Source organism: Homo sapiens, chromosome 7, assembly GCF_000001405.40.
Source record: "Homo sapiens chromosome 7, GRCh38.p14 Primary Assembly".
NCBI classification, from domain to species: domain Eukaryota; kingdom Metazoa; phylum Chordata; class Mammalia; order Primates; family Hominidae; genus Homo; species Homo sapiens.
In genome coordinates, this window is record NC_000007.14 from 107,144,465 (window position 1) to 107,163,073 (window position 18,609).

Consider the following 18,609-nt stretch of genomic DNA (forward strand, 5'->3'; position numbering starts at 1 on the left):
TTTTTGGAGGGGCAGGGAGAGTGTCTCACTTTCTTGCCTAGGCTCGAGTGCAGTGGTGCAGTCACAGCTCACTGCAGCCTTGAACTCCTGGGCCCAAGCGATCCTCTTGCCTCAGCCTTCCAAGTAGCTAGGAGTACAGGCATGTGCCACCATACTTGACTAATTTTTTGGTTTTTTGTAGAGACAGAGTCTTGCTATGTTGCCCAGGCTGGTCTTGAACTCCTGGATTCAAATCCTCCCACCTTGGCCTCCCAAAACATTGGAATTACAGGCATGAGGTACCAGGCCTGGCCCATAATAATTTTCTAATGTTAAAAGCCACTTTTTTTTTTTTTTTTTTTTTTTTTTTAGCAGCACGTCCCCACTCTTTGTCTGTGTTAGGGTTTAGTCAACAGAATAAAGCCAAAGAATTTTTTCTATCTGCCCTCACAGGTGCAAGCCTTGAAAGCATGTTCTCTGATAAAATACAGTATGCGGAAAGTCAGTCATCCACACAAAGAATGCAGTTTACGTGAATATAGGGTCTGGGTAATAGGAAGTGCAGTGACATGCAAACTGAACCTTATTTGCCTAGAAAAAGAACCCCAGTTAAAAGATAAGCACCAAAAAACTATAAAAAGACCAGAGTTAGATATCTAGTCTGAATTTCTACTTTTTAACTTTAGAATGGGGGTTGATCTAAAGTAAAGGGCCAGAGAGTAAATATTTTTGGCTTTGCAGGCCAATATGTTCTCTGTTGTAACTACTCAACTCTGCAGTTGTAGCATAAAACCAGCCATAGATAACACATAAACAAACAAGAGTGTTTATATTGCAGTGAAACTTTATTTACAAAAGCAGATAGCCAGTTTGTGGGCTATAGTTTGCCAACGTCTGCTATAGATTATAAAGGACCCTAGTAAGTTTTGTAGAGTAGTGGCTAACCAAATTGCTATAGCTAGATTCTTTTTAAAAAGTTATTTTCTTCTGATCACAAAAGTAATAATATGTTCATGTTACAAACAGAAACTCTTAAATTAGATAGCGAATATGCCTAGAATCCCTCACTATTCTTATGCTTTTAGATAACTACAGTCAGTGATTTGATAAATGTTTCTTCAGATGATTTTCTTTCTTTTTTTAAGGTTAATTTTTTATAGAGATGGGATCTTGCTATGTTGCCCAGGCTGGTCTTGAACTCCTAGGCTCAAGTGATCCTCTTACCTTGGACTTCCAAATTGCTGGAATTACAGATGTAAGTAAGCCACCACACCCAGCCTCTTCAGATGATTTTTTTTTTTTTTTTTTTTTTTGAGTTGGAGTTTTGCTCTTGTCACCCAGGCTGGAGTGCAGTGGCACAATCTCGGCTCACTGCAACCTCCGTCTCCCAGGTTCAAGTGATTCTCCTGCCTCAGCCTCCCGAGTAGCTGAGATTATGGGATCCCGCCATCACACCCGGCTAATATTTTGTATTTTTAATAGAGACAGGGTTTCACCATGTTGGCCAGGCTGGTCTCAAACTCCTAACCTCAGGTGATCCACCCGCCTCAGCCTCCCAAAGTGCTGTGATTACAGGTGTGAGACCCGGCCTCTCCAGATGGTTTTTTATGCATATACTATTTGGTTGTAGTCTTTAGTTATAGTTTTATCATTCCTTATTCCAAATTTTTATTGTTTAGTCCCATTTTTCCCAGCAGGCACATGGTCTGGAACAGATGGCACAGATTGATTCCCCTTTATTGTCATCGGAGGGGATAACAGGCTGGAAATAAGATTTTTATTTCACAGGGCTCTTTTCTGAAATAATGTTTTATTTTAATGATATTTTATTTGAATTAACCTCCAATCTACATATGTCCAACAGAGGCACATTTGATATTTATGTGAAATGTGATGGTGTTGGAAGATGTGTTGGTAACTATGATAATCGTGGGAGTTTCGGCGAACTGGCCTTAATGTACAATACACCCAGAGCAGCTACAATCACTGCTACCTCTCCTGGTGCTCTGTGGGGTTTGGTGAGTAAAATACTTATTTGACCTGAATGTTATGATTTGTAGCAATTGCTATGACGGTGTTACAAATTGCCGCATGTAGTATTTTAATTTAAAGATCATCAGTCATCAGGTAATTTATTAAGCAGCCACTGAATGCTGAACTGTAGGGCACTAAGACTTCACTAAGTCAGATCCTGATGTCATTGCCCCCACTCCTCCAGTCCAGTCAGGAGCTTGGGACCTGGTGGCCCAGGAAAGACACTCAGATTCAGAATGCTCCTGTCTTACCCACTCTTAGAAAATAACCAGCCATACAAACACAGCCTTAAGTACTTTTTCTCAGATAGCTTTCTGAGGTAAGTATTATAATCTGATAAAGTTGTGGCTCCCAGAGTGTGGTCCCCTGAACACTGGCAGCTGTATCACTTGGGAACTTTTTAGAAATGCCCATTCTGGGGCCCCACCCACTGATTCTGACCTACTGCATCAGAAATTCGGAGTTTGAGAAACCAGTATAAAAGGATGCTCTTGGTGCTATAAATTGATTGGTAACTACTCTGCATTTAAAAGCAGTTGTGTAGGGAAAAAATGCTTGGTGGCTGTGCTCATGTGCCCCACATCAGAATTACCTGGAGTATTTTTTTAAAATCCTCTTACCTAGCCACGAGGTCAGGAGATCGAGACCACGGTGAAACCCCGTCTCTACTAAAAATACAAAAAATTAGCCGGGCACGGTCGTGGGTGCCTGTAGTCCCAGCTACTCAGGAGGCTGAGGCAGGAGAATGGCATGAACCCGGGAGGCGGAGCTTGCAGTGAAGCTGAGATTGCACCACTGCACTCCAGCCTGGGCGACAGAGCGAGACTCTGTCTCAAAAAAAATCCTCTTACCTAGACCTCACCATGGGCAAATTGATCAGAATCTTCAGCACTGGGACCTGAGCATTAGTACTTTTAAATACATTTCTTAATGTGGTATTCCCGCAAGACTTAAAAGCTGGTTTAAAGATACATTCGGGCAATATTTTCACATATGATAGGATGCAAATTATTAGGCACTACTAAAGCTCCTTCTGGAGGATTGTATTTAAGGTAGTGATTCTCAAACTTTAATATGCTTACAAATCACCTGGGAATCCAGTTAAAATGCAGATTCTGATTCAGTGGTTCTGGGGTGAGGCCCGTGATTTTTGCATTTCTCATCAGCTCCCAGGAGATGGCAGTACTGCCTGATGTCAGGCCAAACCTTAAACAGCATCGATTTAGGGAAATGTTTACAGTATATGTATTTTCTTTTAAAATTGTTGAAAATAGCCCACCCACTAGTTTTGACATGCATTTATTGGGTTATTTCTCTCAAATCCTTTTGTGGAAAGAGAAGAGGTTGAAGTAAATATGAAGTCTGTTAAAAGTCTCATTTCCAAGGACTACTGTATATAGCATTGTGGAAGTCACACATTATTTAGTCACAGTTCAGCATTTGACTCTGAAGTCAATTCAGCTGATAAAAAATATCTCTTGATCAAAGAGACAAGACATTTTACATTTCTTTTAATTGGAACCAGTTATTATATACTTATTTAAAAATGTGATGAGTCACTTTTTTAAGGTTTAGAGGAAAAGCTGAATTGTCTCAGGAAAAGGAAAGAACTGTCAGTGATTTGAATACCCAAAGCCAGCAAAGAAAAAACTTCAAACCAGGACAGTCCTTCACCCACAGAAGTCTTTGTCTGCCTGTAATTAAAGTGGTGGGATAAATCTAGCATCTGCCATGACCTGTTTTATTCAGGAAGGTTTACTTTTCAAATGTAGTCATTCCAATGGGGTTGCCGTTCAGATTCAGATTGTCAGATTGTCACACAGTGAGGAAACTGCCTCCTTGCACATCTTCAGAATAAGATCAACTGTTTTATAGGTTGGCCTCTTTGAATACTGATAGTTTTTAGCCCTTGTAGAAACTTTAATGGGGTATAAAAGACCCAGAATTTCCTAGTGCACGTACTACTTAAGTTCCTAAGATAGGATTAAGCATTTTCAGAGCTTTTTAGTAGTCTATACATGTTATTAAATTTTATAAAAATGGGCAGTTTGTGATAATCCTCCTGACATATAATAGCTTTCTAAAAAAGTTAGAATAATTAACATAATTACTTAGTATTTCAAGCCTACTTTTTAAGGGTGACTTGACTAATTATAATAACTCCTTCTCAGGGAGAGTCGAGTAGAAAATAAATTTTTCTTTTAAGGTCAACAGACTGGAGGTCTGCCTTATAAATACAGGTGTGTAAAGATAAGCAAAAAAAGCCCAAGAGAAAAGTCCATTGCAGAATAGTCTCACTCTGTAAATAATATTTGGTCACTATTAGCCTTAGGGCTAACATGATCTACGTGACTATACTGATGATTTGGAAAGGTGATTTTTGAAATGGCTTCAGGATGAAAGTATTTGAAATTCTGGACTTTATATGTCACAGTGGGTGTGAAGAGGTAGGTTACTAATGGAAAATTCTTTCTGAGAGATATAACTGATTATGATTAGTTTCTAAATCATTAAGCTATTTTGAGTCTTCTCTGTTTTGCAATAACCGCTGTCCATACAATGGTGTTATACCTGATTTCCAAACCTGATTACATATCAGAATCACTTTGGGAGCATTTATGAATTATTGAGCCCTACATGCAGAGATCTTGAGTCATTAAGGTCTGGTGTCTCAGAAATCTTTTTTAATACTATAGCTTATTCTGATGCAGAGCCAGGCTTGGAAATAATTTCAATATTTGTGCTAATTATCTTGTAAAATTTTCTTTTAAAAAAAGTATTAGGAGTAAAACAAGTCCAAATTACAGCCAATACCAAATTGGGAAACAAGATGTTTAATTTCCTAGTGTCTTAGTCCTTTTGGGGTGCTATGACAGACTGTTATAGAATGGGTGGCTTAAGCAGCATACATTTATTTCTCATGGTCTGGACGCTGAGAAGTCCAAGATCAAGGCACCAGAAGATTCGGTGTCTGGTGAGGGCTTGTTTTCCTGTTTAACAGACAGCGTCTTCTACTTGTGTTCTCACATGGTGGAAGGGGCAAGGGAGCTCATTGGGATCTCTTTTATAAGGACATTAATCCCATTCATGAGGGCTCCAGCCTCATGACCTAACCATCTTCCAAAGGCTCCACCACCTAATACTATCCTGGGTGATTAGGATTTCAACAGAGGGATTTTAGAGTGATAGAAACATTCAGTTGCAGTCCATCACACCTAGAGACTTTCATCTATACTGGCATTTTTCTCCATTGCACTAGTTCATTTAAATTCAGCCTTATTATGTTGGCATAAGAAAGAATGAATAAGACCTAGTATTTGGTAGCACAATAGGGTGACCATAGTCAATAATAAAATTGTATATTTTAAAATAAATGTAATTGGATTTTTTGTAACTCAAAGGATAGATGCTTGAGGGGGCAGATACCCCATTCTCTATGATGTGCATATTTCATGTTGCATGCCTGTATCAGAACATCTCATGTACCCCATAAATATACACCTACTATGTACCCACAAAAATTAAAAATAAAAGTAAAAAAAAATTAAAATATTGGCATAGTAATTTATTAAATAATATATCCCAATTTTTACTTTATTAAAATGGTATAATTGTTTATTAATGAATGCCAATCTAACATAATTATTGAGGCTTTTATTAAAGAATTAAAATATTTTATGAGAAATTATTTAAAATAAAATTTTTAGGAAAATAATGTTTTGAGCTGTATCCTTAAAATTTTTACTAGTTCTTCAACCGAGTTCTGTATCTTTGAGGGCATGATAGTATAAACAGGAACATTTTAGACTGTGAACATGGTAAACACTGGAATTAGATCTTACTCAAAAACATAGTTGTAGTTTCTCTGTGCCTTCACATTAAATAAAAATTTTTTTTATGAGTACATATTATGTGTATATATTTACAGGGTACATAAGCTATTTCGATAACAGCATACAATATATAATGATCACATCAGGGTAAATGGAGTAGCCATCACTTTAAGCATTTATAATTTCTTTGGGCATCCCTCCACATTTTTGACAAGAAAATTTTGACATAATGTGGATATGAAAAAGAACGTAGAGTACATAACAGAGTAAAAGAACAGAGTGCTAGTATACATATTTAAAAATGCTGTGACAGCGCCTCCTTGTGGGCAGAACCCAACATATTGGTCAGATTTCTGTTATGTATAAAAAGTCAACAGATGCTTTCTTTAAAAAAAAAAAAAAAAAAAAAAAAGAAAACAGTATTTTATGTGGTTCTGTATTATATTTTGTGCTTGACGAAATAAAAATATGAAATGAGTTGCATTAAAAGTATAATGATGTTAATCTTTTATTTCAGAATCTTCAATCATTGTTTCTTGTAGGGAATAAAATAAAACTATTTGTATAGCTTTACCCCCATAAAATTTACCCTTTAACTGTTCTGCCTGTAGGACAGGGTAACCTTCAGGAGAATAATTGTGAAAAACAATGCCAAAAAGAGAAAAATGTATGAAAGCTTTATTGAGTCACTGCCATTCCTTAAATCTTTGGAGGTAAGTATATGTTTATGCTTTTATTTTATTTTGCTTTAAAAGTTTCTGTTTTGCTAGGAATATTTAGTTCTATAGAAAAATTTCTTTGAATAAAAAAAAATCTATCCATGTTTTTATTTGAAAAGATTAAATGGTAGTGCTAATTTTTATAACTCATTGTTTCTTCTGCTATCTATAATTTCATTTGTTTTGTTATTTGAAAGTAATACATTCCTACCCAGCATCTATAGCAAATTTATATGTGGTCTTTATCTGATAGCAGACTTAATATAATCACATAGATGTAGACAAGAGCCACTAGTTGTAACTTTACAGTGAGGCGTTCTCTAGATATAGAATGTCCTCTCTGGCCTCTTCCTCTCAGTCATCTTTGCTGTTTATTCCTCTTTTCTTCTCCTCTTAAAACTGGCATTCCAGGCCTCTGTCCTTGGCCTCTTCTCTTTTCAGGATACACTTATTCACTTGGTGAACATGTCGAATCCCATGGCCTTAAATACAGATGTCCCTTGACTTACTATGGGGTTACCTTACGAATAAACCCATTGTGAGTTGAAAATATCATAAATAGAAAATGTATTTAATACACCTAAACTATGGAACATTCGAGCTCAGCCTAGCCTACCTGAAACATGCTTAGGACACTCACATCAGCCTACAGCTGGGAACAGTCACCTGGCAGCACAGTGCACTGGAGAGCATGGGTTGTTCACCTCATTGTGGTGAGGCTGGCTGGGCGTTGTGGCTCTCTGCCTGGCGTTGTACTGCATATCGCTAGCCTGGGAGAAGATCGAAACTCAAAATTAGAAGTATAGTTTCTATCGCTTTCAAACAACTGTAAGGTTGAAAAATCATTAATCAAGCCACTGTAAGTCAGGGACCACCTGTACTGTCCATATATTGATGCTTCTTAAAATTGATATCACTGGGCAAGGCCCCTCCCTTGAAGGTCAGACTTACTTATCCAACTGCAAATGTAAGATTTCCTCTCAGATGTCTAATAGACATCTCAAACCTAGTATGTCCCAAATCTACTCCTTTTCTCTTTCCCCGCAGATGGCAACATATCCTTCCAGTGTCTCAGGCCAAAAACCTTCGAGTTAGCACTGACTCATATGAACCACCATCACCTCTTGCCTGGCTAATTGCAGAGTCATCTTTTAAAATCCCTGGTTGTGGCACTGCTCTATTTAAGCTCCTCCTCACATGGCCTCTAAGGCTCTGCACAGACTGTCCCATTCCCCCACCCATTTTCCCCAACCTCATTTCCTACTGCTCCACACTCATCATCTCTCTGTTGACACATCAGCTTCTTGCCACTCCTCAAACACACCTGTCCCACACCCACTTCGGGGTCTTTGTACTTGCCGTCTGTCTGGAATGTCTTCCTACACAGCTGCAGGGCTCCTTCATTTCTCAGCCCAGAGGTCTTCTCAATGAGACCAGCTCTTAGGTTTTTATCTTTGAAGGTAGAGACTTATGAGAGAGAGTAGGTTGTTGTTACCCTAAAAATTCAGCTTCATTTTCCATACTTCATCATTAAATTAAATGCTTTTCTATTTCACTGTCATATTTGAAGTATTTTGAGAGTAATTAAAGACAGGCATATATATGTACCCACAACATCTTATAAAATGGCAAGTGTCAAAACAGCAGTGCTTCTCCTTTTGAATGTCTCTGTTGGATTATCAGCTTACATCTGGTAAAAATTTTGTCCACATCACACAGTGCGTGGTAGACAGCTGATCTTTTCCAGCAGCATATTTCTTTAAATAAGAGTAGGTCAGGGATTGGAAATCTGGTGCCTTCAGAGCTAGGCAGGTAACACAGAGAAGAAAACCAAGCCAGGAAGGGACTTTGGCAGATTGGAGAACATGTATTTCATTAAAGAAACAGCTGCTATCCCACCATAGTTTTATTGTTGCCATGTGGAAATATGGGCTATGTGATGCTGATTTTTCAAGAGAAGCTGGAGATTGAATTTTTATGAAAAATTATTTTAAAATGCTGGCTGGTAATTAATACAACAAACACATATACAACCTACACACTGCTCGATTTATTTGGCCTATAGGCTACCAGTTTTTTACTCCCGAACTAGATAAGCTTACCCAGTTAATTTGTTTCTATTTAATATTGTTTTTCTTTCTTTGTAGTTTTCTGAACGCCTGAAAGTAGTAGATGTGATAGGCACCAAAGTATACAACGATGGAGAACAAATCATTGCTCAGGTATGATATTTTGAAATGTAATTCAGTTTAGGGTTATATTCCAAAAGGTTCCTGTAGTGGTAGATCTTGATAAACTTTTCATATTTCTAAAATTAGTATGCAGTGATGGGTTAAATAAATATTACTTCTACCAAATGACCTGTTAAAAATGGTTTCATTTATAGTCATTACTCTATTGAATATTTTTGTTTATGTAATTAACTCCTAATGAAGGTGTATTAAACCATCAAATGGTTTTCTGCATCATTGTAGTCATTTATAAGAGGAAAAAACAGGTGAATGTTCCATGACATTAATGAGGACCCAGAAAGTACACTGGAAAATTCTATAGAGTTTTGCATGATCAGTTCATGATGAAAATTCCTGAGGCTGCTCCTTGATAAAATTCACCAAGAAAGGAACACACTGCAACATATACTGTTTTGGCTTCCAAGACTACATGTGGGTCAACATGTTATTTAATCCCTAATACTTTTCTAAGATCCCAGCTGGAACCAATAATATTAGATACCTGGGTTGGAGTAGGGCTACCAAAAGTAGAATTTGTGAAGACTGTTGAAGTTCACAGGTAAAGCATGCAGATGATAGTACCTTGTTTCCTAGTTATATTTTTGAAGCACTAAGCAAATGATTAAAATGGATTTTTAATAGATTCTGTAATTTTTGTATCACAGCCTTATACTGTTTTGTGCTCTTTATCTGAAATGCAGTCTTTTCCTTTATATGGGAAACAAGATTCAAGGTCTTTGAGACTGAGAAAAAGAATTGTTTTAGAAGACAAATACATAAGTAAATCTTTCGATCAACACCCCTCTCCCATTGCTGAGTGTGTGTGTGTGTATGTGTGTGTTAGAGCAGTCAGGGATTGGGAAGAAATGGAGTCAAGCAAGGTTAAAGTTCTACTGTATAAACTAGTAAATAACAAAGCAAAGAGCATGTTTTAAATGATTTTTTAAGGTTTTATTTTGAAATAATTATAGATTCACAGGAAGTTGCAAAAATAGTTTTGAGAGGTCCCGTGTACTCTTCACCCAGTTTCTCCTAATGCGTTTTGCATCACTGTTAATAACAATATCAAAACTAGGAAAATGACATTGGCATAATTCACAGACCATATTCAGTTTTCACCAGTTTTACATACACTTAGAGCGTGCTTTAAAAATAGTTAAAAATTACTCAGCAGTTAATAGACCTATTATGATTCAGAACACTCGAAAACTTAATATGAAGCTTTTATGAAAACCTGATACAAGAATAAGGGAAAGGAGATATGCTATACTTAGGGTTTATTAAGGATATTCTTACATATTTGTTGTCTTTTAAGCATTTATAAATATACATATACACCCTATATTCTAAAAATCTAAATTCAACATTTATTTTTGTGATAGAATCAGATGCTAAACTTCTTGAATTTGTATTAAGGAGTTTTGAAATATTTTAAGTTTCTCCAGAATCACTTTGAGAGGCTTAGAGAAGTCAGTGTCTGTATTATTATCTTCCATATTGTATTGTTTAATTCAGACTGCATCATTGGAGATCAAGGCAGAGTTCATTAAGAAACAAAAGCAAGAAAGAACAGGTATATGGGTAGAGCAACACTTTTCTTTTAGAAGTCCTTCCAAAGCCTTGAAATGGAATGTCAGTAGGCTAGCATGTCAGAGTTTGGTCCTCAGTTGACTGTAGTGAAAATGTCAAGGCCCACATCTGCTGCTTCCGGCTCCATCTGGATGCTTTCTGCTCTTTGCAAGTTGATGGCTTATCTTGGGTCACCACACCAATGCTTGCGATGTTAGGATGACGCAGGGTGCATGTCTCGGCACTTCCTCAGGAGCACAGGATCCGCAGACATGTTTCTGCCAACTAAGGGGACGCTGCTGGCATACACAGCAGTGTTGCCATTTCCAACTATGTATGCTGTTATCTAGGCTGAAATTTGGGTGAAATTCTTACCCCAGTGTTGCCACATTTTCTTGGTTTTTTAGCAGAAATACAGTGGTAGAGAATATATTATTTCAAGGCCAGGCACAGTGGCTCACGCCTGTAATCCCAGCACTTTGGGAGGCTGAGGCAGGTAGATCACTTCAAGGTCAGGAGTTCGAGACCAGCCTGGCCAACATGGTGAAACCCCATCTCTAATAAAAATACAAAAAAATAAATAAATACGGGTTCTAGATCCCTGAGGAATTGCTACACTGTCCTCCAAAATGGTTGAACCAATCTACATTCCCACCAACAGTGCAAAAGCATTCCTATTTCTCCACAACCTCACCAGCATCTATCGTTGCTTGACTTTTTAATAATTGCCATTCTGACTGGCGTGAGATGGTTTCTCATTATGGTTTTGATTTGCATTTCTCTAATGATCAGTAATGATCTTTTTTTCATTTTTTTTTTGGCTGCATAAATATCTTCTTTTGATTCTTTTGAGAAGTGTCCGTTCATATCCTTTGCCCACTTTTTAATGGCAGAAATACCATTTGACCCAGAAAACCCATTACTGGGTATATACCCAAAGGAATATAAATCATTCTGCTATAAAGACACATGCACACATATGTTTATTGCAGCACTATTTACAATAACAAAGACATGGAACCAACCCAAATGCCCATCAGTGATAGACTGGATAAAGAAAACGTGGTACATATATACCATGGAGTACTATGCAGCCATAAAAAAGAATGAGATAATGTCCTTTGCAGGACATGGATGAAGCTGGAAGCCATCATTCTCAGCAGACTAACACAGGAGTAGAAAACTAAACACCGAATGTTCTCACTCATAAGTGGGAGTTGAACAATAAGAACACATGGACACAGGGAGGGGAACATCACACACCGGGGCCTGTCAGGGGGTGGGGAGTGAAGGTAGGGAGAGTATTAGGACAGATACCTAATGCATGCGGGGCTTAAAACCAGACAGGTTGATAGGTATAGCAAACCTCCATGGCACATGTATACCTGTGTAACAAACCTGCATGTTCTCCACATGTATCCCTGATTTAAAGTAAAATTTTAAAAAAAGGAAAAAAAAATTAGCTGGGTGTGGTAGCACATGCCTGTAATCCCAGCTACTTGGGAGGGTGAGGTGGGAGAGTCGCCTGAATCCAGGAGGTGGAGGCTGCAGTGAGCTGAGATTGCACCACTGCACTCCAGCCTGGGTGACAGAGCGAGACTCCATCTTGGGGGGGAAAAAGAAAGTATTATTTCAAATAATTTTACAAATGAAATCATTACTACATAATTGTCCATCAAAACCTCTTCATTTAGGGCCGGGCTCGGTGGCTCACGCCTGTAATCCCAGCACTTTGGGAGGCCGACGCAGGCAGATCTCGAGGTCAGGAGATCAAGACCATCCTGGCTAACACGTTGAAACCCCGTCTCTACTAAAAATACAAATAAATTAGCCGGGCGTGGTGGCAGACGCCTGTAGTCCCAGCCACCCAGGAGGCTGAGGCAGGAGAATGGTGTGAACCCGGGAGGTGGAGCTTGTAGTGAGCCGAGATCGCGCCACTGCATTCCAGTCTGGGCAACAGAGTGAGACTCCGTCTCAAAAAAAAAAAAAACCTCTTGATTTAGAAACCGAGACAGCTTGTTCCCTTAGGATTTCACTTTTCAGGTGAATATGTGTACTTTGGGGTTGGATCAATTTTAGGGATATGAAAGGTAACAAGATTGTTGTCAATTAATTTGCATTTTCACCGTCTGTTTTTGTTATTGATTCCAATAGGGAGATTCGGCTGATTCTTTTTTCATTGTAGAATCTGGAGAAGTGAAAATTACTATGAAAAGAAAGGTAAGCATTCTAAGTCCTCAGAACCCACATACTGTTAGCAAGGAACACAACAGATCTACTTTTTGATGTTTAGACTGAGGTTAATTTTATTTTTCATAAGCTGAGGAAAAGCTCATCTTTTTAATTGCCTTGTCAGGGTAAATCAGAAGTGGAAGAGAATGGTGCAGTAGAAATCGCTCGATGCTCGCGGGGACAGTACTTTGGAGAGCTTGCCCTGGTAACTAACAAACCTCGAGCAGCTTCTGCCCACGCCATTGGGACTGTCAAATGTTTAGGTAGGGATTGCAACAGTGGGCGTGCTTCTGCTGGTTGAACTTATGTCTGCATTTTATGTATTCATGTTGAGTGAATCATTTTATTGGGTTCACAGGTTTTGTGGTCCCCACAAAAGGTAACAAGATTAGGACTCATTGCCTTATAAAATCAATTTGTGGAAGCCATTTTTTCTTCGAAATTTTTACATCCAGATACATTTTGCTCTTCTTGTGTATATATGAAATAACATCCCATATTAGTCATTAAAATAAGAGTTCCAAGTACCACGTTTTATATGGAATCTCTCAAATAAGCAACATGTGCTATGTTCCTCAAAAGAGAAGGCTAAAGTACTATTTTTATAAAGTCCGTTATTAAGATCTGCGGGGAATGCTGAGATGTTGTGAGAATCCTTACTCATTACAGTATTGGGACACAAAGGTTCAGGTTTGTCAAAGCACAGTCAAATGTTCTTTGCTGTTCAGTTGTTATTACTATTTTACCAGAGTAGCTTGGCAGAAATGTCATCTTCAGGTGCAGGCATCTGTATATATCTGAGATTATATATCTGAGAAATCACTTACTTTGATAAGAAAATACAGTTTAGAAGGTGGCAATATGGAGGGTATTTTAAGAAAATTGATCTCACAGTTATTACCCTCTCTGTGCTTTTCATCCATAATTCAATAGCATAAACTTAATGTTTTTAAGATTTGCAAGGATCCTTAGAATTAACTTCTTAGAGAAGTCATTCTTTAAAAGGGTTTAAATAAGTATAATATTAATCAAGTGTTAAATTTGGATGGAAGAGAAGACGATTAGAAACTGGCAGGTAATTTCCCTAAGTAGGGCTATTAGAAAGAGTAAAGGTGAGTGAGTGAAAGTCTATTAGAAATAGTAAAGGTGAGTGAGTGAAAGTCTATTACAGTAAAGGTGAGTGAGTGAAAGTCTATTAGAAAGAGTAAAGGTGAGTGAGTGAAAGTCTGTTAATTTTTTTTCAATAATAGATTATTATACTCACATCAAAGAAAACCTGAGAAATACAGAAAATGTAGAAAAAACATAACACCGCCACTCAGTGATTTCTGCTATTATAATTCCTTCTTGTCCTTTTTATTTGTGTGGGCTTCCAGTTGTTAAACAGTTTTCCAAACAACTTTTAAAGTTCATTATCGCTTAGGAATGTTCTTATTTTATTACACCAAATTTTAAAATTCTTTTAGGTAAATATATACACGATAAATTAATCATTCCTTAGTGGTAAATACTTCGAAGGTTTTGGCTCCAACTTTTTTGTGGGGAGCAATTTTTTGTGCATAGAAGACTTTTCTGTATTATAGGAGTTTTCCTTAGAAATGGTTTTCAGGAGTGGGTTTTTAAAAAATTAACTTTTGACACATATTGCCAGATTACTTGTATTTGTACACTACTAGCAGTGCCATAATGCCCATTCACCCTATTCTTGTAAACATTGCCTTTTTTATCTTTTTATCTTTAGTGTAAAAGGCAAAGAAGATCTATTTTAATTTGTACTTTTATGTATAGAGTATGATCATATTTTCTATTTATATATTATAAATCCAGTTTTAAAATCCAGGAGACAGGCAAGCAAAGTGATTTCTAGCATGTACTTATAGAAGTAAACAAAAGCATTATGTCAGCTGCCATTTTTGGATTGCATAGACATAGTATGGCAGCAAAACTTACAAAAGGTTAACACTTGGCCTTCACAACATGGCATTTTAAACCCTGAGAAGGGAACACAGGATAGAAAACACTCTTGTGCCACCCTTGAGGAGTTCACATTGCTAAGGTGGAGACAGCACATTTATTTTTTAAAATTCTAAGGTCTTTCCATGATAGTCCCTCATTCTTTTCTCAGCTTGGACCAGGAACCTCCCACCAACTTAGCATTGCTCATCATATTGCCGAGGGACTGCAGAGTGTGGTCCAAGAGCGTGGCCCTGGCTGCTTCCTTTTTCAAGTGGAACATTTTTATCATTATGCTTTTTCTTGTATTTTATAGTATTTACCTAAAATATCATTGCACTATTGATATATATGGAGTCGGTATTGTAAATGACTTAGAAATTCTGCAGATTTGCAAAGAATGTTATTTAAAAAAAAATCTTCTCTTTTCTCAGCAATGGATGTGCAAGCATTTGAAAGGCTTCTGGGACCTTGCATGGAAATTATGAAAAGGAACATCGCTACCTATGAAGAACAGTTAGTTGCCCTGTTTGGAACGAACATGGATATTGTTGAACCCACTGCATGAAGCAAAAGTATGGAGCAAGACCTGTAGTGACAAAATTACACAGTAGTGGTTAGTCCACTGAGAATGTGTTTGTGTAGATGCCAAGCATTTTCTGTGATTTCAGGTTTTTTCCTTTTTTTACATTTACAACGTATCAATAAACAGTAGTGATTTAATAGTCAATAGGCTTTAACATCACTTTCTAAAGAGTAGTTCATAAAAAAATCAACATACTGATAAAATGACTTTGTACTCCACAAAATTATGACTGAAAGGTTTATTAAAATGATTGTAATATATAGAAAGTATCTGTGTTTAAGAAGATAATTAAAGGATGTTATCATAGGCTATATGTGTTTTACTTATTCAGACTGATAATCATATTAGTGACTATCCCCATGTAAGAGGGCACTTGGCAATTAAACATGCTACACAGCATGGCATCACTTTTTTTTATAACTCATTAAACACAGTAAAATTTTAATCATTTTTGTTTTAAAGTTTTCTAGCTTGATAAGTTATGTGCTGGCCTTGGCCTATTGGTGAAATGGTATAAAATATCATATGCAGTTTTAAAACTTTTTATATTTTTGCAATAAAGTACATTTTGACTTTGTTGGCATAATGTCAGTAACATACATATTCCAGTGGTTTTATGGACAGGCAATTTAGTCATTATGATAATAAGGAAAACAGTGTTTTAGATGAGAGATCATTAATGCATTTTTCCCTCATCAAGCATATATCTGCTTTTTTTTATTTTGCAATTCTCTGTATTCTATGTCTTTAAAAATTTGATCTTGACATTTAATGTCACAAAGTTTTGTTTTTTTAAAAAGTGATTTAAACTTAAGATCCGACATTTTTTGTATTCTTTAAGATTTTACACCTAAAAAATCTCTCCTATCCCAAAAATAATGTGGGATCCTTATCAGCATGCCCACAGTTTATTTCTTTGTTCTTCACTAGGCCTGCATAATACAGTCCTATGTAGACATCTGTTCCCTTGGGTTTCCGTTCTTTCTTAGGATGGTTGCCAACCCACAATCTCATTGATCAGCAGCCAATATGGGTTTGTTTGGTTTTTTTAATTCTTAAAAACATCCTCTAGAGGAATAGAAACAAATTTTTATGAGCATAACCCTATATAAAGACAAAATGAATTTCTGACCTTACCATATATACCATTAGGCCTTGCCATTGCTTTAATGTAGACTCATAGTTGAAATTAGTGCAGAAAGAACTCAGATGTACTAGATTTTCATTGTTCATTGATATGCTCAGTATGCTGCCACATAAGATGAATTTAATTATATTCAACCAAAGCAATATACTCTTACATGATTTCTAGGCCCCATGACCCAGTGTCTAGAGACATTAATTCTAACCAGTTGTTTGCTTTTAAATGAGTGATTTCATTTTGGGAAACAGGTTTCAAATGAATATATATACATGGGTAAAATTACTCTGTGCTAGTGTAGTCTTACTAGAGAATGTTTATGGTCCCACTTGTATATGAAAATGTGGTTAGAATGTTAATTGGATAATGTATATATAAGAAGTTAAAGTATGTAAAGTATAACTTCAGCCACATTTTTAGAACACTGTTTAACATTTTTGCAAAACCTTCTTGTAGGAAAAGAGAGCTCTCTACATGAAGATGACTTGTTTTATATTTCAGATTTTATTTTAAAAGCCATGTCTGTTAAACAAGAAAAAACACAAAAGAACTCCAGATTCCTGGTTCATCATTCTGTATTCTTACTCACTTTTTCAAGTTATCTATTTTGTTGCATAAACTAATTGTTAACTATTCATGGAACAGCAAACGCCTGTTTAATAAAGAACTTTGACCAAGGCTATAAATGCCACGTACATTATTTTCAGTATTGTTGGTTATATTTAAATTTTCCTTACAATAAAGCACACTTTTATAATAAAATACATGAATTATTGTTTTTCATACTTTTTTGCTTGTTTCTTTAAAGTTTTCTGACGTGCATAATGCATAATTCATTGAAAAGCATGATAGCAATGTGGCATGTGGAAGCGAACCCCCAGGGCATAACATAGTAAGAAAGTATGGTTCTGTATGGCAATAGGTTTTTAAAATTATTAGCTATTCATCATGTGTGGGAGAAATAATTGTGGTGTGTTGCAGATTTATTTGGCCATTTAGAATAACCAAATCAATCTGGCTAACTAGGAATTTATGTGTAAAATTATCTGATTAAAACAGCTCAAGTTTGACTTGTGGATGTCATTATTTAATTATTAATCAACACTCCTTACTATGTGAGAATTCTCTGTTGACCATTCATTCAAGGACAGAGCCTCTCGTGTATCATGCGTGGCTAAGGAAAGGGGTGAGGACTTTTTCCCCAAGAGTGACGGTGCTTTCCCTTATTTTAAATAAAGGTGTGTGTGTGTGTGTGTGTGTGTGTGTATGTATGTGTGTGTGTATTGTTTTCTACATATCCATATGTACTAGGGCTTAGTGCAGATATTTTAACATACACGTTACCTGTGACACAACTTAGGTGAATGTATATGTGTTACCATTAGGATTAGTATTATAAACTCTGGCTAAATGCCATTTAAAATGCTTTAAAAGGCCGGCACCATGGCTCATGCCTGTAATCCCAGGACTTTGGGAGGCTGAGGCAGGAGGATCACGAGGTCAAGAGATCGAGACCATCCTGGCCAATATAGTGAAACCCCGTCTCTATTAAAAATACAAAAATTAGCTGGGCGTGGTGGCATGTGCCTGTAGTCCCAGCTACTCAGGAGGCTGACGCAGGAGAATCGCTTGAACCTGGGAGGCAGAAGTTGGAGTGAGCCGAGATTGTGCCACTGCACTCCAGCCTGGTGACAGAGCGAGACTCCGTCCATAAAACAAACAAGCTTAAAAATTCTTCAAGTGAAACGGCATGAAGCAAGAGACTTCGGATTTTATTGAAATGTAAAATTTAAAAACGCTGTGTTCTTTCCCTTCCCAAAGCATCTTTAAAGATACTGATAGAATTTTTCCTCTCAAAAAACGTTATAAAGGATGAGATGACCTTTGCCATTCTTAAGGAAAATTAATACTGTGTAGGCCTAGAGAGGTGAGTCATACATCTGGATTAAGGCAGAGCTTTGTTAAATTGCTGGACGGGATTCTTAAAAAAAAAAAAATTTACTACCTAAGAGAAATATAGTTTTTAAGGAATGCTGGCTTCTAAAATTTAGTGTTTGGTATAGCCTGATGCCAAGTATCAGAAAGAATTTTGACAAAAATGAAGAATTGGAATGAGTTGAGACAACCTTACCTGTTCTAGAATACTTTTAAAGGCAGCAAAACTGGTTGAATAGACTACAGAGTTGTTCATCTTCACAGGTATAAAAACCCTTTAAAAGTGTAATGAATTATGGAAATATAAGCAGTAAAGTATACCAGTTATTTGCAGAAGACTTGTGTCAATAACTATGAGACCTTAAATCAGTTCAATTTGTATACCTAAGGACAATCA

General features: G+C 36.9%; 1 protein-coding gene across 1 annotated transcript in view, besides 1 other annotated feature; it reads left to right on the plus strand.

Annotated features, from left to right (window-relative positions):
• Positions 1-17,347, plus strand: part of PRKAR2B (protein kinase cAMP-dependent type II regulatory subunit beta) — a 117,107-nt gene extending 99,760 nt beyond the window's left edge. The window contains exons 6-11 of the mRNA NM_002736.3: positions 1,844-1,997; positions 6,458-6,559; positions 8,713-8,787; positions 12,520-12,585; positions 12,722-12,860; positions 14,985-17,347. Coding sequence (NP_002727.2) covers positions 1,844-1,997; positions 6,458-6,559; positions 8,713-8,787; positions 12,520-12,585; positions 12,722-12,860; positions 14,985-15,118 — 670 coding nt within the window. The 3' untranslated portion in view covers positions 15,119-17,347. The remainder of the gene's footprint in view (positions 1-1,843; positions 1,998-6,457; positions 6,560-8,712; positions 8,788-12,519; positions 12,586-12,721; positions 12,861-14,984) is intronic.
• Positions 7,413-8,612: an enhancer, noted in NCBI's record as "CDK7 strongly-dependent group 2 enhancer chr7:106792322-106793521 (GRCh37/hg19 assembly coordinates)". NCBI's record gives its function as "activates an origin of replication core promoter dependent on BRD2, BRD4, P300/CBP, MED14 and CDK7 cofactors, with strong dependence on CDK7, by STARR-seq in HCT116 cells {active_cell/tissue: HCT116}" and the evidence as "EXISTENCE:reporter gene assay evidence [ECO:0000049][PMID:35650434]".
• Positions 17,348-18,609: the final 1,262 nt, after the last annotated feature.